At 35.2% G+C, this 22,203-nt stretch overlaps 1 protein-coding gene and 1 pseudogene across 3 annotated transcripts in view; both read left to right on the forward strand.

The window, feature by feature from the left end:
• Positions 1–19,240, forward strand: part of TMEM38B (transmembrane protein 38B) — an 82,089-nt gene extending 62,849 nt beyond the window's left edge. For all 3 annotated transcript variants that reach the window (NM_018112.3, XM_011518832.4, XM_005252075.3), the window contains one exon: positions 16,476–19,240. In NM_018112.3, coding sequence (NP_060582.1) covers positions 16,476–16,691 — 216 coding nt within the window. In that variant the 3' untranslated portion in view covers positions 16,692–19,240. The remainder of the gene's footprint in view (positions 1–16,475) is intronic.
• On the forward strand, positions 692–4,416 carry DEPDC1P2 (DEP domain containing 1 pseudogene 2; annotated as a pseudogene).

Raw genomic sequence — 22,203 nt, forward strand, 5'->3', positions numbered from 1 at the left:
CATATAATGACTTCTTTTACTTTGTGGAGATACCCAGTTGTGGGATTACTGGATCAAATGGTAGTTCTACTTTTAGTTCTTTGAAGAATCTCCATACTGTTTTCCATAGTGATTGTACTAGTTTATATTCCCACCAGCAGTGTAAAAGTGTTCCCTTTTCAACACATCTACACCAATATTTTAAAAATATTTAAAAATAAAAATTATTTGAAAAAACACTGAGAAGTGTGGGTTATCTATTGGCTGCTCAGTAAAAGGAGTAATTGTGAAATAGAGCTGTTGTGAAATAAAGCATAAGGAACGGTAAAGAATGACTAAAACTGAAAAGAGGCTGTTGGGTTTCGAAATTAAGAGATACTTGGTGACCTTAGTAAAAGCAATTTCAGTGGACTGGTAAGGGATAGAAAAATGATTGTAATCAATTGAGGTGAATAAAAAAGTGAAGATGAAGAGTATAAACTATTTTAAAGGGATTTGGAGGGAGTATAAACAGGAATAAAACTTGGGAGAGCAGTTTGGCAATATCTGACAAGGTTGAAGATCCACGTATCTTGTGACTTGTTAACTCTATTTTTAGGTATAACCAACAGCAGTGTTTCCCAAGGTATGGTACGGGGCACAACTTTATCAGAACCACTTTAAAAAAATTCTTTAGCAGATGCTATTCAAATCGGCGGCAGGGCCAGTGGTTGTGCTGAGACTCGCCACTGCCCAGGCCGCTGGGCCTGAGTGTTGCCTTCGCTGCCATGGACGCCAGTGGGCACTGACAGACCTATGGAGAGTTGGGGTGTGCCTCCCAGGCCTTATCTGGCCACCAAACTGGAATGCCCTTCAGGCGGGCATGTATTATTCGTCCTACTTTACCAGTGTGGACACTGAGGCTCACAGACGTTAAATCCTTCTAAAGACACATCTACAGCAAGTGGCAGAGCTAGAATTCAGATCTTCCTGGTATGGCGATCTTACATGGATTCTGCTACTTATGGAATGAAATTACCACATCTTTTCGAGCAGGAATGCCTCTAAGAAAACACAGACAACACTTTAAAAAATATGGCAGTTGTTTCACAGCAGGAGAAGCAGTGGATTGGCTTTATGACCTATTAAGAAATAATAACAGTTTTGGTCCTAAAGTTACAAGACAACAGACTATCCAACTGTTGAGGAAATTTCTTAAGAATCATGTAATTGAAGATATCAAAGGCAGGTGGGGATCAGAAAATGTTGATGGTACTAACCAGCTCTTCAGATTTCCTGCAACTTAGCCATTTAAAACTCTGCCACGAAGACATCCAGAATTGAGAAAAAACAACATAGAGAACTTTTCCAAAGATAAAGATAGTATTTTTAAATGATGAAACTTATCTCATAGAACTCCTAAAAAGCATGGATTACATTTATCTCAGGAAAATTCCGAGAAAATAAAGCATGAAATAATCAATGAAGATCAAGAAAATGCAGTTGATAATAGAAAACTAAGCCAGGAAGATGTTGAAGAAATTTGGAGATATGTTATTCTGATCTACCTGCAAACCATTTTAGGTGTGCCATCCCTAGAAGAAGTCATAAATCCAAAACAAGTAATTCCCCAATATATAATGTACAACATGGCCAATACAAGTAAACATGGAGTAGTTACACTACAAAACAAATCAGATGACCTCCCTCACTGGGTATTATCTGCCATGAAGTGCCTAGCAAATTGGCCAAGAAGTGATGATACGAATAATCCAACTTATGTTGGATTTGAACAAGATATATTCAGCACAATCACAGATTATTTTCTAGATCTCCTTGAACCTCTCCTTACTTTTGAATATTATGAATTATTTGTGAACATTTTGGTTGTTTGTGGCTATGTCATAGTTTCAGATAGATCCAGTGGGATACATAGAATCCAAGATGATCCACAGTCTTAAAAATTCCTTCACAATTTGAATTCCTTCAAATCAATGGAGTGCCTTCTTCTCAGTCTGCTTCATAGAGAAAAAAGAAGAATAAGATTCTACTGAGAGACTACGGATAAGCAATCCAGGATTTCAAGAAAGATGTGCTAAGAAAATGCAGCTAGTTAATTTAAGAAACAGAGGAGTGAGTGCTAATGACATAATGGGAGGAAGCTGTCATAATTTAATAGGGTTAAGTGGTATGCATGATCTGTCCTCTAATAGCAAACCAAGTTGCTGTTCTTTGGAAGGAATTGTAGATGTGTCAGGGAATTCAAGTAAAGAGGCATCCAGTGTAAAGAGGCATCAATCTTTTCCAAACATAGAAGGACAAAATACTAAACTGTTTTTAGAGTCTAAGCCCAAACAGGAATTCCTGTTGAATCTTCATTCAGAGGAAAATATTCAAAAGCCATTCCGTGCTGGTTTTAAGAGAACCACTACTTTGACTGCTCAAGACCAAGAGGAGTTGTGTAATGGGAAATGCAAGTCAAAACAGCTTTGTAGGTCTCAGAGTTTGCTTTTAAGAAGTAGTACAAGAAGGAATAGTTGTATCAACACACCAGTGGCTGAAATGATCATGAAACCAAATGTTGGACAAAGCAGCACAAGTGTGCAAACAGCTATGCAAAGTGAACTCGGAGAGTCTAGTGCTGCAATCAATAAAAGACTCTGCAAAAGTTCAATAGAATTTTCAGAAAATTCTTTACTTCCAGCTTCTTCTGTGTTGACTGGTACACGAAGTTTGCTGCAACCTCATTTAGAGAGGGTTGCCATCGATGCGCTACAATTGTGTCGTTTGTTACTTCCGCCACCAAATTGTAGAAAGCTTCAACTTTTAATGCGTATGATTTCCCAAATGAGTCAAAATGTTGATATGTCCAAACTTCATGATGCAATGGGCATGAAATCACCGATGATACATACCTTTTCTCGATGTGTGCTATGCTGTGCTGAAAAAGTGGATCTTGATAAGCTTCTGGCTGGAAGATTAGTTTCTTTCTTACTGGATCATCATCAGGAAATTCTTCAAGTACCAACTTATTTACAGACTGCAGTGGAAAAACATCTTGAATACTTAAAAAAGGGACATATTGAAAATCCTGGAGATGGACTATTTGTTCCTTTGCCAACTTATTCATACTGTAAGCAGATTAGTGCTCAGGACTTTGAAAAGCAAAAAGTTTCTACCTCTCAAGCTGCAGTTACAGAACTTATAGAAAATGTTATTAAAAACAAGAGTTTACCTCTAAAGGAGAAAAGAAAAAAACTAAAACAGTTTCAGAAGGAATACCCCTTGATATATCAGAAAAGATTTCCAACCACGGAGATTGAAGCAGCACTTTTTGGTGACAAACCTACAATCAAGCAACCAATGCTGATTTTAAGAAAACCAAAGTTTTGTAGTCTAAGATACTAACTGAATTAAAAATTATGTAATACTTGTGGAACTTTGATAAATGAAGCCATATCTGAGAATGTAGCTAATCAAAAGGAAGTCTGTTATTAATAAGGTATTTCTAAATAAGCACATTATGTAAGGAAGTACCAAAATAGTTGTTTATCAATGTGAGACTCCTAGGAGACTAACTAGATCTCAACTGAGAACACGTAACAATAGGTGATACCAAATACTTTTTGTTTTTAACACAGCTATCCAGTAAGGCTATCATGATATGTGCTAAAATTTTATTTGCTTGAATTTTCAAAATTGAGCTATGTTCATCAAGATTAAACTATAATTCTGTTTTTAAAAGAAAATTTATCTGCATATGTGCAAGTTCTGAGATATTAGCTAATGAATTAGTTGTTTGGGGTTACTTCTTTGTTTCTAAGTATAAGAATGTGAAGAATATTTGAAAACTCAGTGAGATAATTCTCAGCTGCCAAATGTTGCACTCTTTTGTATATTCTTTTTCCACTTTTGATCTATTTATATATATGTATGTGTTTTTAAAATATGTGTATATTTTATCAGATTTGGTTTTGCCTTAAATATTATCCCCAACTGCTTCAGTCATTCATTTGTTTAATATATATATGTTTTGAATTCTAATTTGCATAATCTATTAGAAGATGGGGACGTAAAAGAAGTATAAGGCAATCATATATTCATTTAAAAGATACTTATTTAGCAACTGCTATGTGCCTTTCATTGTTCCAGATATGCGGAGACAGTGATAAATAAAACATATAATCTCTTCTGTAAGGTATTTATTTTTAATCAAGGGAGATACACCTATCAGATGCTTAAAATAACAACATTACCTACTGCAATCAGGGCATATAGAATCATTCAGCCTAAGACTGACTTCTATGATGATGGAACAGGTCTCTAAGCTAGTGGTTTTCAAATTGGTGCACATTAGACTCACCCGAGGAGTTTTAAAACAGCCTATATGCCCAGGGCCTAACTTATACTAATTAAATCTGAATTTTAGGGATGTTGTCTAGGGATTAGTATTTCTTTTAATCTAGGTGATTCCAGTATTCAGCCAACTGTGAGAATCAATGTCCTAAATGCTTTTTATAAACATTTTTATAAGTGTCAAGATAGTGGCACATTGACTTTATTTTTTCATTAGAAGAAAATGCTTGCCGAGTATAAATGCCTCTCATCTTAAAACAAGGTTCTTCAGGTTTCTGCTTGATCGACTTGGTACAAACTTGAAGCAAGTCGCCTTCTATTTTTTACTCCAAGGTTGTTTAATATCTATTCCTTAAGTGTAAAGAAATATATAATGCCTGGGTTGCAATAAAATCTTAATGTTTAATGACTATTCTCATTTCTCAATATAATTTCATAATATTTCTCTATAAAGTGATAGTGTTCCATTTAACATTACTGATTTTTATTAAAAATCTGGACAGAAAATTATAAATATGACTTTATCCTAGAAACTGGCTATAAATTTTTTTTTTAAATTTATTATTATTATACTTTAAGTTTTAGGGTACATGTGCACAATGTGCAGGTTAGTTACATATGTATACATGTGCCATGCTGGTGCGCTGCACCCACTAACTCATTATCTAGCATTAGGTATATCTCCCAATGCTATCCCTCCCCCCTCCCCCCACCCCACAACAGTCCCCAGAGTGTGATGTTCCCCTTCCTGTGTCCATGTGTTCTCATTGTTCAGTTCCCACCTATGAGTGAGAATATGCGGTGTTTGGTTTTTTGTCCTTGCGATAGTTTACTGAGAATGATGATTTCCAATTTCATCCATGTCCCTACAAAGGACATGAACTCATCATTTTTTATGGCTGCATAGTATTCCATGGTGTATATGTGCCACATTTTCTTAATCCAGTCTATCATTGTTGGACATTTGGGTTGGTTCCAAGTCTTTGCTATTGTGAATAATGCCGCAATAAACATACATGTGCATGTGTCTTTATAGCAGCATGATTTATAGTCCTTTGGGTATATACCCAGTAATGGGATGGCTGGGTCAAATGGTATTTCTAATTCTAGATCCCTGAGGAATGGCCACACTGACTTCCACAATGGTTGAACTAGTTTACAGTCCCACCAACAGTGTAAAAGTGTTCCTATTTCTCCACATCCTCTCCAGCACCTGTTGTTTCCTGACTTTTTAATGATTGCCATTCTAAGTGGTGTGAGATGGTATCTCATTGTGGTTTTGATTTGCATTTCTCTGATGGCCAGTGATGGTGAGCATTTTTTCATGTGTTTTTTGGCTGCATAAATGTCTTCTTTTGAGAAGTGTCTGTTCATGTCCTTTGCCCACTTTTTGATGGGGTTGTTTGTTTTTTTCTTGTAAATTTGTTTGAGTTCATTGTAGATTCTGGATATTAGCCCTTTGTCAGATGAGTAGGTTGTGAAAATTTTCTCCCATTTTGTAGGTTGCCTGTTCACTGTGATGGTAGTTTCTTTTGCTGTGCAGAAGCTCTTTAGTTTAATTAGCTCTCATTTGTCAATTTTGGCTTTGGTTGCCATTGCTTTTGGTGTTTTAGACATGAAGTCCTTGCCCATGCCTATGTCCTGAATGGTAATGCCTAGGTTTTCTTCTAGGGTTTTTATGCTTTTAGGTCTAACGTTTAGCACCAATCCCACAGAAATACAAACTACCATCAGAGAATACTACAAACACCTCTATGCAAATAAACTAGAAAATCTAGAAGAAATGGATAAATTCCTCGACACATACACTCTCCCAAGACTAAACCAGGAAGAAGTTGAATCTCTGAATAGACAATAACAGGAGCTGAAATTGTGGCAATAATCAATAGCTTACCAACCAAAAAGAGTCCAGGACCAGACAGATTCACAGCCGAATTCTACCAGAGGTACAAGGAGCAACTGGTACCATTCCTTCTGAAACTATTCCAATCAATAGAAAAAGAGGGAATCCTCCCTTACTCATTTTATGAGGCCAGCATCATCCTGATACGAAAGCTGGGCAGAGACACAACCAAAAAAGAGAATTTTAGACCAATATCCTTGATGAACATTGATGCAAAAATCCTCAGTAAAATACTGGCAAACCGAATCCAGCAGCACATCAAAAAGCTTATCCACCATGATCAAGTGGGCTTCATCCCTGGGATGCAAGGCTGGTTCAATATACGCAAATCAATAAATGTAATCCAGCATATAAACAGAACCAATGACAAAAACCACATGATTATCTCAATAGATGCAGAAAAGGCCTTTGACAAAATTCAACAACCCTTCATGCTAAAAACTCTCAATAAATTAGGTATTGATGGGACGTATTTCAAAATAATAAGAGCTATCTATGACAAACCCACAGCCAATATCATACTGAATGGGCAAAAACTGGAAGCATTCCCTTTGAAAACTGGCACAAGACAGGGATGCCCTCTCTCACCACTCCTATTCAACATAGTGTTGGAAGTTCTGGCTAGGGCAATTAAGCAGGAGAAGGAAATAAAGGGTATTCAGTTAGGAAAAGAGGAAGTCAAATTGTCCCTGTTTGCAGACGACATGATTGTATATCTAGAAAACCCCATTGTCTCAGCCCGAAATCTCCTTAAGCTGATAAGCAACTTCAGCAAAGTCTCAGGATACAAAATCAATGTACAAAAATCACAAGCATTCTTATACACCAACAACACACAAACAGAGAGCCAAATCATGAGTGAACTGCCATTCACAATTGCTTCAAAGAGAATGAAATACCTAGGAATCCAACTTACAAGGGATGTGAAGGACCTCTTCAAGGAGAACTGCAAACCACTGCTCAAGGAAATAAAAGAGGATACAAACAAATGGAAGAACATTCCATGCTCATGGGTAAGAAGAATCAATATCGTGAAAATGGCCATACTGCCCAAGGTAATTTACAGATTCAATGCCATCCCCATCAAGCTACCAATGACTTTCTTCACAGAATTCGAAAAAACTACTTTAAAGTTCATATGGAACCAAAAAAGAGCCCGCATCGCCAAGTCATCCTAAGCCAAAAGAACAAAGCTGGAGGCATCACACTACCTGACTTCAAACTATACTACAAGGCTACAGTAACCAAAACAGCATGATACTGTTACCAAAACAGAGATATAGATCAATGGAACAGAACAGACCCCTCAGAAATAACGCCGCATATGTACAACTGTCTGATCTTTGACAAACCTGAGAAAAACAAGCAATGGGGGAAGGATTCCCTATTTAATAAATGGTTCTGGGACAACTGGCTAGCCATATGTAGAAAGCTGAAACTGGATCCCTTCCTTACACCTTATACAAAAATCAATTCAAGATGGATTAAAGAAACTGGCTATAAAATTATTGGACCAAATTGAATTCTTTCTAAGGCATTTGTATGCTGAAACTTTTTTTGTTTATAGATTTGTAAAATGTGGATTATTTTGCAAATTGAGATTAAAATTATTTGGGGTTTAGTTACAATTTAAAAAATGCTTTAGCAAAGTAGCATTTAATATTTATTGACGAAATCATTAGAAATGAGCTCCTTTAAAAATTTTTAAAAGTCAACTTTTTAGAAGTATAATTTATGCATATTAAACTATATTCATGGATAATAAAGTACATTCAGTCTAGGAGTACATTTTGATGAGTTTTGACAAATTTGTATACCTGTGTAACTACTACCACAGTCAATGTATGAAACATTTCTATCACTTTGGAGCATTTCCTTGTACCTTACTCTAGTAAATCCCAGCCACTACCCATAGCCCCAGTATACCATTTATCCACTTTATATCACTACAGATTAGTGTTTTCTGTAGTTTCATATGGAGTCATATAGTATGTACTCATTTTGTTTTTGAGATTTATCCATGTAATTACATATTCCTGAGTAGTATTAGGTACCACAATTTGTTTTTCCAGTTATCTGTTGATGGGTTTTGGTGTATTTCCAGCTTTTGATTATTTGAATAAGGTTGTTATAAATAAAGCTGCTATGAATATGTGTACATATATGTCTGTACACAGACACATATTTTCTTTTTTTTCTTTTTTATTTTTTTTGAGACGGAGTCTTGCTCTGTCACCCAGGCTGGAGTGCAGTGGTGTGATCTTGGCTCACTGCAACCTCCGCCGCATGGGTTCAAGTGATTCTCCTGCCTCAGCTTCTCGAGTAGATGGGAATATAGGTGTATGCCACCACGCCTGGCTAATTTTTCATATTTTTAGTAGAGACGGGGTTTCACCATATTAGCCAGAATTGTCTCAATCTCCTGACCTCATGATCCGCCTGCCTCGGCCTCCCAGTGCTGGAATTACAGGCGTGAGCCACTGTGCCCAGCCAGACATGTATTTTCGTTTCACTTAATAACTAGGAGGAGAATTGCTAGGTCATCTGAAAAGCATATGTTTAACTTTTTAAGAAACTGCCACACTATTTTTCAAAATGGTTGTATCATTTTACATTCCCACTAGCAATGTATGAGAGTTCTGATTGTCCTAGATCCTTGTTAATTATTTGGTATTATCAGTCATTTTAATTTTAGCGTTTTGTAGGTATGAAGTGATATCGCATTATAGTTTTCTTTTGCATTTCTGTGATGGCTAGAGATTTGAGCGTCTTTTCGTGTGTTTACTGGCCACTCACATGTGATCTTTTGAATAGTGTCTGTTTAAATATTTTGTCCATTAAAAATTGTATTATTATTGAGTTGTAACAGTTCTCTGTATATTCAGGATGTCAATCCTTGGTGAGATATATGTATTGCAAATAATTTTCTCCCAGTTTATGCTCTTCCTTTTTCTTTGTTTAGTGTTGTCTTTAGAAGAGCTGAAGTTTTAAATTTTGATGAAGTTTACTTTACTAGATTTTCCTTTCATGGCCCTTCTTTTTGTGTCCTATTAAGAAACTATTTTATTCCTCAAGGTTTTGAAGAGTTTTCACCTGTTTCTTCTAAAAGTTTTATAATTTTTGCTTTTTTTTCTGTTTTTTTTTATTATTATACTTTAAGTTCTGGGATACATGTGCACAATATACAGGTTTGTTACATATGTATACATGTGCCATGTTGGTGTGCTGCACCCATTAACTAGTCATTTACATTAGGTATATCTCTTAGTGCTATCCCTCCCCCCTCCCCCCACCCCACGACAGGCCCCGGTGTGTGGTGTTCCCCACCCTGTGTCCAATTGTTCTCATTGTTCAATTCCCACCTATGAGTGAGAACATGCGGTGTTTAGTTTTCTGTCCTTGCGATCGTTTGCTCAGAATGATGGTTTCCAGCTTCATCTATGTCCCTACAAAGGACATGAACTCATCCTTTTTACTTTTAGAGTCTGTGAACCATTTCAAATTAAGTTTTATGAGTCCTACAAGGTAAGGGTCAGGTTTTTTTTTTTTCCTCCATATGAGTAGGAAGTTGTTACAACACTGTTTGTTGAAAAGACAGTTCTTTCCCTCATTGAATGATCTTGCCACCTTTGTTGAAAATCAGTTGGCTTGACCTATGTGGGTCTATTTCTAGACTATATTCTGTTCTATTGATTTATATGTCTATTTCTAGCCAATACTAAACTGTCTTAATTACCATAACTTTATAGTAAGTCTTAAAATCAAGTAGTACAGTTTCTCCAACTTTATTTTCTCAATATTTCTTAGGATAGTCTACATCTTTTATATTTCTAAATAAGTTTTATGATAAAGTTGTCACTTCCTATGGAAAAAACGCCTTCTGGAATTGTTTTTGAGATTGCATCTATAGATTAATTTGGGAAGAAATCAGATCTTAAAAAGATTTAGTCTGTTGATCTCTGAACATGGTATGTTTCTCCAGTTATTTAGGCCTTTAAATTTTTGGAGTACTATTTTGTGGTCTTCATTGTTTTATATGTATCTTGTTAAATTTAAATTTATCCTGAAGTAGTTCATATTTTTGGATGCCTTTAGAAATAGTAGTTTTTCAAATTTCAATTTGGAATTTTACATTGCTTCTATGTACATTGCTTGTAAGAATAATCTTACACATTGTTCTTGTATCCTGTGACCTTGCTAAATTGCCTGTTGGTTCTGGTAGCTTTTGTGTAGATTCTTTAGCATTGTCTATATACATGGTTTTGTCTATGATAAAGATAGTTTTACTTTTTCCTTTTCAACCCGGATGCTGTTTTTTTCCTTGCCTTATTATATTGGCTAGAATGTCCTGTACAATGTTGAAGAGAAATGGTGAGAGTAGACATCTTTGTTTTGTTTGTGACCTTAGTGGGAAAACATTCAGCCTTTTAACTTAAATAAGATATTAGCTATTAAGCATCTTATAGATATCCTTTATGAGGTTAAGGAAGTTCTCTTTTATTTCTAGTTTGCTGAAAGTGTTTATCATGAATGGGTGTGGGATTTTGTCAAATGCTTTCTTCTGTATCATTTAAAATAATCATAGGGGTTTTCTCTTATATTCTGTTAATATAGTGGATTACATTGATTGATTATTAAAATGTTACATAAATCTTTCATTCCTGTGATAAACCCCATTTAGTCATGATGCGGTATCCTTTTTGCATATTACTGAATCCATTTTTTAAAATATTTTCAAGGATTTTTTTCCAGTGTGCTAATGGATATTGGTTTGTAGTTTTCTCTGTAATTTTTTTCTCCTTTTTGTATTAACATAAAATTGGGCTCATTAAATAAATGGAAAATAATTTCTCTAATCTCTGAGTTTATGTAGGTTTGATATTATTTATTGGTAAATGTTTGATAGATTCACTAATGAAGTCATTTGGGCCTAGAATTTTCTTTAAAGGAAGGTTTTTGATAACAATTTCTTACATAGATATAGGGCTATGCAGATTTTCTATTTTACTTGTGTCTGTTTTACTAAGTTGTATTTATTACGGAATTTGCCATTTCACTTAAGTTTTTTATTGTTGGCATGAAATTGTTGATAATAGTTTTTTGTTATCCCTTTAATGTCTGTAGAATTTGTGGTAATGTCTCCACTTTCATTCCTGATATTGGTGATCTGTGTTTTCTTTTTCTGTCTTTTAAAATCACTCTACCTAGAGGTTTGTCAGTTTCATGGATTTGTTTCAAAGACCCAGCTTTTGGTTTCATTGGTTTTTCTGTTTTAGATTTCATTAATTTCAGGTCTTTTTTATATCCTTCCTTCTGTTTACTTTGGGGTTTACTTGGTTCTTCCTTTACTATAAAGAAAATATTGATAAATTTGACTCCATAAATTGTTTTTTAAAGTTGCATGGCAAAAGCCACTGTGGACAAAGTCAAAATATAGCTATCAAATAGCTGTGATAAAATACTTACAACATATATCAGAGGGCTGGTATGCCTGATATATAACAACCTCTTAAAAATTAAGGGATAAAGGACCAAAACCTGATGGAAAAGTTAAAGGAAAGTTATCAACAGACAATTCACACAGAAAAGATCAGGAAATGTTCCTCAAACATATTAAAAAATGTGGAACTCATACTTGAGAAACATTAATTAAAATAACACTGAGATACCATTTCTCATTCATCAAAACTGGCACAAAATTTTAAATTTGTATTTTATTTTAGTTTTGAGACAGGGTCTCGCTCTGTCACTCAGGCTGGAGTGCAGTGGCATGATCACGGCTCACTGCAGCCTTGACTTCCCAGGCTCAAGTGATCTTCCCACCTCAGCCTCCTGAGTAGTTGGGACTACAGGTGTGTGCCACCATGCCTGGCTAATTTTTGTATTTTTTGTACAATTTTGGTTTCACTATGTTGCCCAGGCTGGTCTCAAACTTGGACTCAAGCAACCTTCCCGCAAACGAAAAATTTACAAGTCTGGCTACACATTCTGTTGATGAGGCTGTGGAGAATCAGGCACTCCTGCAAATGTTCTTTTTCAGTGTTTTCTGGATTTCTTCTGTGTTTGTGTTTTTTCAATATATTTTTAGCTATTCTTGTATATTGATATGAACTTTAATAGTTTGTCTAGCTCTGTAAAAAACCATGTTGATATTTTTATTGCAATTGTGTTTATTGTTTATTGCAATTTATAAGCTAATTTAGGGAGGCAGTTATAGGAAGAAAAGCATGGAATGAGACAGGAGTGAGGACAGAGCCATAAAGTTCTCTAATATTTAGAGAAGGGAAATCTAGAATGGGAAATGGAAAAGGGGTGGTTGATGAGAGTTTTAAGGAGGAGGAGATAGTTTTAAAGAGCGTAGATGTGCTGAATACTGATGAGAAGTGTCTTCAGGTAATGTATTGTTTAATACATGAATGAGGGACACTGTTCTTAGGCCCTTTTGGGGATCCAAATAATCATATATACATTGAATAAGGTGTAATGTATACATTTTATTCATTGATGTATTGAATAAGATGTATTATTGAACACATGAATGAGGGACACTGTTCTTAGGTGCTTTTGGGGATATGAATGATTATATAAACATTGAATAAGACCCAAATCCTATTCTTAAGACATTATTGTCTAAAAAGGAGCAGGAGATATGCTAACTTGACTTTTAAACTTTATGAGGAGAGGTACTAAGTTTGCAGTATTCATCACTGCATCCTTAGCATTGAGTCTAGTGTATATAGTTGATTTTTAATATATATTTGTTGACTGACTAATAAATGATCAAAATGCTCTTTCACAGGTTTATTTAATTATTCCACACTTAAAGATATACATTGAATAAGGTATAATGTATACATTTTATTCATTGATGCATTGAATATTATTCCACACTTAAAGATATATACCAGAAATGAACAGTTCATTCACCTAGGTTTTTTTTTACATTTGTAAAAATGTAAACCCTATGATTTTAATTTATTTGAATCATTCATGTTAATAATTAGCGAAGTCTGAGGGAATAACATAATCTATGGAGAAAGCATAGAGTGATCAGAAAACCTACTTGAATATGCCATGTGCCGTTAGGGATTCATTTTAGGGCCAGGTGACTTTCATTGGAAGATACTGATAAGGGCCTATTGGAATAGACACGAGTTACACTGAAAAGGATTATTTGAATTTGGGCAGGTGGAGACAGGAAGAAGTATGTTCTGGATGAAGAGAGAGATTAATTGTGCAAATTTTTCTTTTATAGATATATTTCAGTATGCTTTGAATTATTGCTATGAAGTAGATGTTATATTTATTCATTCAGTGTATTCTCAGTGCTAGGCACTATAGAGAATATCAAAGTAGGTATAAGTGCCATATTGTGTGTCACATTTTACTGGACATTTTGAAATGGTGTAACTTGAGATATAAAGAATGTGGCAGAGCTTTAAACAAATTTCTTTACCTGAATTAATTTATATTTTGGGATATGTTAAAAATGCCAAAATATTTTTAGGGCTTCTATTTTCTTTTGTTTCATCTCCTTTTTAAGTAAGAGACTATGAAGCCAAATACTATTTAATTTAGGTAATATACTTTTTCTTTTAATAGTTTGCTAAATAAGGAGACAGTTTTATATTTTATTTGTAAAAGAATAAGGATTTATTCTATTTGTCACAAGTACATTTGTCACCTTGTTAAATCAAGGTCTGATAAGAGGCTGAATTCACAAAATTTTGTCCTTGAACTTCATGTGTCTATCTCAGCTGTAATTTCTGATGCCAGCAATACTTCTCAACTGAGTGATGAGTCTTTTGGGAGTGGAGATTCTATTAAAACACTTGAGTTTGAAAAATACTTATTATAGTTCATGTTCTCAGAAAATATTTTAAACCCTGACACTCTTCTCTTTTGGATTTTGTAAAAAAGACGTTGCTGTTTTCCTGACAGTAGACCATTGTTTTTGATTGGAATTCTATTATCTTTTATTTGCAGTTCCTTAAGTCAAGCTATGACCAAGGTAATTATGCTAGTGTATCTCATTGTAACTATTTATTCTAAGGAATAATTTAATATAAAAAAGTCCTTAGATCTTATCCAATAATGGCATAAACTTGGAGGTTAATGTTATATTTGGACTCCTCGTTTTACATTCTCTCCAGGTGTGTACACTCATTTATGCATTTACCTTTCGCTTGTATGATAAATGACTTCCAGATCTATATCTATTATTTAAATGTTCCTGGGAAATCTCTATTACTGCCCTTTCTCTTCTTTACTGTTTGGTAATTACTGATTTACTTGCCTGTCTCTGGCTAGTCTGTAAGCTCCTTGAGGGCAGGGATTACATTCAACATCTTCTGGAAGACAGTTAATGCACAAGCAGAATATTTTAATCATATTGTTAGTTTTAGACTTAGTGCTGTATTGTACTTCAGTTTGCCCTTCTACAGTGTAACCCTTTTGGGGTCTTACTTTAAGCCTGAAGTACATCCCTGGGCAGTTTCACCTTGTCTGACCTTGAATTCCAACTTATCTTCCCAGTACCAGGCAGCTGGCTGCTAAAGTATCTGCTCAGCTCTTTGGCCTCTCAGCTATTGCTGTCTGCTAGGCTTTTGGATTCTCATCCTTCTTATGTATGCAGAGTTTAGGGATTGGTAAATTCCCCCAGGGCAAATTGCACGAGGATTTTAGGGCTCACTTCCATGCGACATCCTCCTCTTTGGGCTGTATTGACCTCAGGTCCTTACAGCTTTGGCCTTCTCACATTCCAACCTATGGCTCCTTATCCCCCCTGGACTTCTGCTTTCTATTCCCCTGTGCTGTGAATTTAGGTACATATCTTCACAAGAAAAAGCAAGGGTAAATGTGGAACTCACTTTATTCAGCTTTTTTTCTCTTGAATAGTAGCCCCATCAGGTTCTGCCTATTTCAGTTGTTTCCCAGTGTCTTTTAGCAGTTACTTTATGTACTTCTGTCTTTTGTTGATTTTGGTGAGAGACTGAGTCCTGATATAAGCTATTTAATCATGACTGGCCTGAAGTCCATGGGCATGTATTTAAAAAAATTTTTTTTTTAAAAATTGAGTTCAAATTCACATAAAATTAGCTGTTTTAAAATACACATTTCAGTGACGTTTAGTACTCTCACAATGTTGTGTGTGGATGTGTTTTTAATTTATATAAATGATAGTACACTATGGCTCTTGTTTTGTGTCTCATTTTCACCTAACAGTATGTTCTAAGAATTTTTCACTTTTTCTTTTCTATTCTAAATATTGCATAGCATGCATTTAACTTATCTATTCCTTTTGTGATGAATATATACTTTTCTTCCACCTCCCCACACTGTATTGCAACTAGTAAGAATTTATTCTTGATACCATTTTCCCCAAGCAGGTAGGTTATGTAGGGGTCTTCTTTGAAAATTTGATCCCCAGAATTTCTAGTTTAAGTCATTATCTGTGTTCTGGAGGAACTGACTCTTGGGGAAATTCCTGGATTCTTTGGAGCTGTTCTAGACTTGAAAGTTCTCCTCCCAGATTTATTTTGGCATTAGCCTAATTTCTTGAGTATATCTAAACATCTGTGAACACTGTGCATTTTGCCACATAAAGGAATAGGAGCACTCTCTACCCCTTGAGGTCTTGGTTCCTTTATATAAAAATATATGTGGAAAAAATTGGGGGACATTCTACAATCTGTTGAGGGTAGCATTCTGCAAGTCACTAAAAGTCTGTGACTTTAGATGATGATAGTCAGTGTATTTAGTAATCGAACTCAGAATCTGGATATTGCAAACTTCTTTACCACTTATTAGCTTTGTGATTTTGGGCAAGTTATTTAACCTCTCAGAGCCTTGGTTCCACATCTCAATGATGAGGGTAATAATAGAATAGTTGTTGGGTTAAAGTTAAAGAGAACGACAATGTAAAGCACTTATCTTCGTTCTGACACATGTTAAATGCATAGTGATGTTGATATTTTATCTTACTTCCTTTGAATACTAAATGCATTTTTGTGAAAGTGGTTATTCTACTCATTTGGCACCCCAAAATATGGTACCTTGTATTATTTTTAATGAGTTGTGTTATTTTCCATTAAGTAGAATCTCATGGAGAACAGAGATTTTACCAGAATCTAGCTTAGATTGCTTCCCCTGCAGATTACATTAATAATGCATTTTGATTTTTTTTCCTTTTGTTTCTCTCTCTTGAGAAACAGAAATCATTTGTATTTAAATTCAAAATTAAACTTTTTTCCCCCAGATAACCATGATGACTACACAGACTTCTACTATGACATTTGCTCCTTTTGAGGATACATTGAGTTGGATGCTATTTGGCTGGCAGCAGCCGTTTTCATCATGTGAGAAGAAAAGTGAAGCAAAGTCACCTTCCAATGGCGTTGGGTCATTGGCCTCAAAGCCGGTAGATGTTGCCTCAGATAATGTTAAAAAGAAACATACTAAGAAGAATGAATAAATTTACGTGATGAGCTCTACAAGGCCAAAAATTTTTTTTCTTATCTACCTGTTATATTGTGCTAATTTTTCTATGTATGTGATGTGAAATGAAGACTATATATATGGAATGGAGGTGACAGAAAGAAAGAAATTCTTTGTTTGAGGGAGACTTCCCCTTTCTGGATTGTATTTGTAGAGTGTTACGAGTGTATCATGTGATTATGCTTTACCGGTATAAGAGATTCTGTTGTGATTATTTGAATAGTTTTATATTAATAAAAGAAGACAAAATTTTTTAAATGTTAGAAAAAGCAGATCTGTCATTGCAAAGTAACAAAAATTTTAAGCTTTTAAAAATGTAGATTTTTCATATTTTTAAAATTTGAATCTATTTGAGCTTTAGTTCAGCAGAATTAAATTTTTACTTGACATTATCATTAAAATTGCTAGGTATGGAGAACAATTCCTATTTTATTTTGAACACTGAGAAGAGTAAACTTTTCCTAAAACACTTTATATTATAAATGAAAATAAATTGCTAGTTTATATTTTAGATATAAACATCATATTTTTTATTAATACCTACATCAAATGGAAAATATCTGAAATTTTTTTTCCATAGCAGGTATTTTCTACTAGAAGTAGTTTTACTACTTTTCATTTAGAACAGAGTATGAGTCTTAATCTGAAGTCTTTTTCATGCCCTTGTTTTAAAAAAACTACTTTTTTTGGCCTCAAAAAAATCAAGGGTGTAATTTTTAATAAATTGTTAATCCTATGTTTTGTAATTTTCATTTTAGGAGCTTGACTTATTTTTTTCTCTCTCATAAAAACACATTTGTTTTAATTGTAGGAGAAATTTTCTCAGCATTTTGCATGTTCTTTCTAATCTTTGTTGGTCTGAATATATTGGTAGTAATTACTGTAATTATTCAACAAAAAGCATATCCGTTCAAAAATTTTTCCACTATGTCTTTTTTCTAGTGGCTACTGTTTTAGTTTTCTAGTTGAATATCTCTGACAAGCTTTCGTATGGTTTTGTTATATTTTCATCTACATGTAATGTGTTATTAATTTTATTAAATGAAAACTAATCACCTTCATGTGGAAATGCTCTGAGAATTGTCCTTAGGCATTTGGTAGTAACCAGCTAACCAAGAAGAAACAGAGAAACCAGAACTTCATATGGCAGTCCATTTAGATGAAGAATGATGATATAAAATCTGGTTCCTTCTTAGCAAAATAAAAAACAAACAAGAAAAGATACTAAATGATGTTAATTTTCTTACTTTATGATTTAGAAGTCCAGTTATAATATTAAAACTCTGTGACATAGTTTCTTTTACCAAAACCATGAACCTACTCCCCGTATCAGGTATTTTCGATGGTTTAGAAGTACTCAAGTCACATCACATTCAAGTTAGAAGTTTTTTTTTTGTTGTTGTTATTTTAAATTTTTAACAAATATAAACACCAGCAGATACTATTACTTGCTTAAAAAATTGGGAGGGGGCACTTTTCATAGTCTTGGAATGCTAAGAAGTTTTATTTTTAATATTGTGACAGAAAGCTTTAAGTATTTAAGAGCTCTGTATTATATTTGATACTCTTACAGTTAAAAACTTTTCAAAATTAATACATTGTTAATTATTGACCAGTTTTGAAGTTTGGGTTTAACTGTAGTTGAAATGGAAGGACTCTTGTTTTACACTTGTATTAAAGATAAATTTATTAAAATAAGTTATTTAGCACCAATGGAGTATTACATTATTTTTATGTTTTATATTTTTCTTGAGGTAGAGTTTCAGAACTCATCTAGTATTTTGACTAATATAGTATATATTCAGTGATTACTGTTCAAATGGGACATTGGTAGAAACTTTATTAATCTATGCAAGTATCCTATAACCCTCAATTCAAGGCTCTTTTGTAAAAAATGTACTGGAGAACATGGCTTAGGCCTGAAACCCATCCTGAATCTATTCAGGTCACCTGTAGAGTCTTGACTTGGATTTGCAAAGCAGATTGTTAGACTCCTTACCCAATGTGAAGTGTGAATAAGGCCTATAGGCCTGCCTCACACAGCTAATCAGAGGTGGCACTGAGAAAGTCAAGTCCTAATAGGTCTCCTTAAAAAAAAAAAGGAGACAAAAAGCTGGCAAGAACATGAGCCAGCTTCCCTCAGTGCTGTCACTCTCAAGTAAAACATGGCCAAATGAATATCAAACTGGTTTATCAGATTAGTCACTCTTCCTTACTGAGGGAGTATCAAGTAAGGGCTGGAGAGAGACCAGATATGTGGAGTTGTTGGCTTTCAGTGGAAATGGTAGCCTCCCTGTGGGTAGAGACCAAAAGGTAGAGAGATGACAGAAGGGAGACTCTGATTAGTGTATTTTTTTTTTGTCTATTCCTTAAAGCCCAGACACCTTTCCATTAAAATCTACTTCAAATCACAAGTTGATTACAATTGAGTGGAACATCCCATGTTGTAAATGGAATAATGTGTTCAGAATGCTCTTTCTTTCCCCCAATAAAGCCCTTTATAGTGTTTGCCCCAGGTGTAATTCACATCCTTGGTAATATTCATTCAGTTGTTTATTCAACAAATATTGAGTACCAGTTATGGGTCAATCATTGTCCTAGGCTCTGAAGATAACAGAAAACAAGAAAAATGCTTTCTCCCTTGGAGTTTATATTCCAGTGGCGGAGAGACAGATAATAAACAAATATACTCTTGTGGTGGCAATAAAAGTTACGAGTAAATATTAAGTAGGACATAAGGATAGAAAGTGAGGGGAGTGGGATTGTTTGTTACAATAGGACTGCCAGGCCTTTCTGTTAAGATTGCATTTTAGCAGAGACCTGAAGGACATGAGGGAGCACACCATGTAGACTTGTGGGTAAATGTAAGGTTCATACTGATCCTTCATATACTTGATTTAAAGCATATATTCCCCCCAAATAATTGAATTTATTTTTATTTTTATTTTTTTTTGTTATTTTTTTTATTATACTTTAAGTTTTAGGGTACATGTGCACATTGCGCAGGTTAGTTACATATGTATACATGTGCCATGCTGGTGCGCTGCACCAACTCGTCATCTAGCATTAGGTGTATCTCCCAATGCTATCCCTCCCCCCTACCCCCACCCCACCACAGTCCCCAGAGTGTGATATTCCCCTTCCTGTGTCCATGTGATCTCATTGTTCAATTCCCACCTATGAGTGAGAATATGCGGTGTTTGGATTTTTGTTCTTGCAGTAGTTTACTGAGAATGATGATTTCCAATTTCATCCATGTCCCTACAAAGGACATGAACTCATCATTTTTTATGGCTGCATAGTATTCCATGGTGTATATGTGCCACATTTTCTTAATCCAGTCTATCATTGTTGGACATTTGGGTTGGTTCCAAGTCTTTGCTATTGTGAATAATGCCGCAGTAAACATATGGGTGCATGTGTCTTTATAGCAGCATGATTTATAGTCCTTTGGGTACATACCCAGTAATGGGATGGCTGGGTCAAATGGTATTTCTAATTCTAGATCCCTGAGGAATTGCCACACTGACTTCCACAATGGTTGAACTAGTTTACAGTCCCACCAACAGTGTAAAAGTGTTCCTATTTCTCCACATCCTCTCCAGCACCTGTTGTTTCCTGACTTTTTAATGATTGCCATTCTAACTGGTGTGAGATGGTATCTCACTGTGGTTTTGATTTGCATTTCTCTGATGGCCAGTGATGGTGAGCATTTTTTCATGTGTTTTTTGGCTGCATAAATGTCTTCTTTTGAGAAGTGTCTGTTCATGTCCTTCGCCCACTTTTTGATGGGGTGGTTTGTTTTTTTCTTGTAAATTTGTTTGAGTTCATTGTAGATTCTGGATATTAGCCCTTTGTCAGATGAGTAGGTTGCGAAAATTTTCTCCCATTTTGTAGGTTGCCTGTTCACTCTGATGGTAGTTTCTTTTGCTGTGCAGAAGCTCTTTAGTTTAATGAGATCCCATTTGTCAATTTTGTCTTTTGTTGCCATTTCTTTTGGTGTTTTGGACATGAAGTCCTTGCCCATGCCTATGTCCTGAATGGTAATGCCTAGGTTTTCTTCTAGGGTTTTTATGGTTTTAGGTCTAACGTTTAAGTCTTTAATCCATCTTGAATTGATTTTTGTGTAAGGTGTAAGGAAGGGATCCAGTTTCAGCTTTCTACATATGGCTAGCCAGTTTTCCCAGCGCCATTTATTAAATAGGGAATCCTTTCCCCATTGCTTGTTTTTCTCAGGTTTGTCAAAGATCAGATGGTTGTACATATGCGGCGTTATTTCTGAGGGGTCTGTTCTGTTCCATTGATCTATATCTCTGTTTTGGTAACAGTATCATGCTGTTTTGGTTACTGTAGCCTTGTAGTATAGTTTGAAGTCAGGTAGTGTGATGCCTCCAGCTTTGTTCTTTTGGCTTAGGATGACTTGGCGATGCGGGCTCTTTTTTGGTTCCATATGAACTTTAAAGTAGTTTTTTCGAATTCTGTGAAGAAAGTCATTGGTAGCTTGATGGGGATGGCATTGAATCTGTAAATTACCTTGGGCAGTATGGCCATTTTCACGATATTGATTCTTCTTACCCATGAGCATGGAATGTTCTTCCATTTGTTTGTATCCTCTTTTATTTCCTTGAGCAGTGGTTTGTAGTTCTCCTTGAAGAGGTCCTTCACATCCCTTGTAAGTTGGATTCCTAGGTATTTTATTCTCTTTGAAGCAATTGTGAATGGGAGTTCACTCATGATTTTGCTCTCTGTTTGTCTGTTGTTGGTGTATAAGAATGCTTGTGATTTTTGTATGTTGATTTTGTATCCTGAGACTTTGCTGAAGTTGCTTATCAGCTTAAGGAGATTTTGGGCTGAGACAATGGGGTTTTCTAGATATACAATCATGTCGTCTGCAAACAGGGACAATTTGACTTCCTCTTTTCCTAACTGAATACCCTTTATTTCCTTCTCCTGCTTAATTGCCCTGGCCAGAACTTCCAACACTATGTTGAATAGGAGTGGTGAGAGAGGGCATCCCTGTCTTGTGCCAGTTTTCAAAGGGAATGCTTCCAGTTTTTGCCCATTCAGTATGATATTGGCTGTGGGTTTGTCATAGATAGCTCTTATTATTTTGAAATACGTCCCATCAATACCTAATTTATTGAGAGTTTTTAGCATGAAGGGTTGTTGAATTTTGTCAAAGGCCTTTTCTGCATCTATTGAGATAATCATGTGGTTTTTGTCATTGGTTCTGTTTATATGCTGGATTACATTTATTGATTTGCGTATATTGAACCAGCCTTGCATCCCAGGGATGAAGCCCACTTGATCATGGTGGATAAGCTTTTTGATGTGCTGCTGGATTCGGTTTGCCAGTATTTTATTGAGGATTTTTGCAGCAATGTTCATCAAGGATATTGGTCTAAAATTCTCTTTTTTGGTTGTGTCTCTGCCCGGCTTTCATATCAGGATGATGCTGGCCTCATAAAATGAGTTAGGGAGGATTCCCT

This window comes from Homo sapiens, chromosome 9 (genome assembly GCF_000001405.40).
Source record: "Homo sapiens chromosome 9, GRCh38.p14 Primary Assembly".
In the NCBI taxonomy this organism is placed as follows: domain Eukaryota; kingdom Metazoa; phylum Chordata; class Mammalia; order Primates; family Hominidae; genus Homo; species Homo sapiens.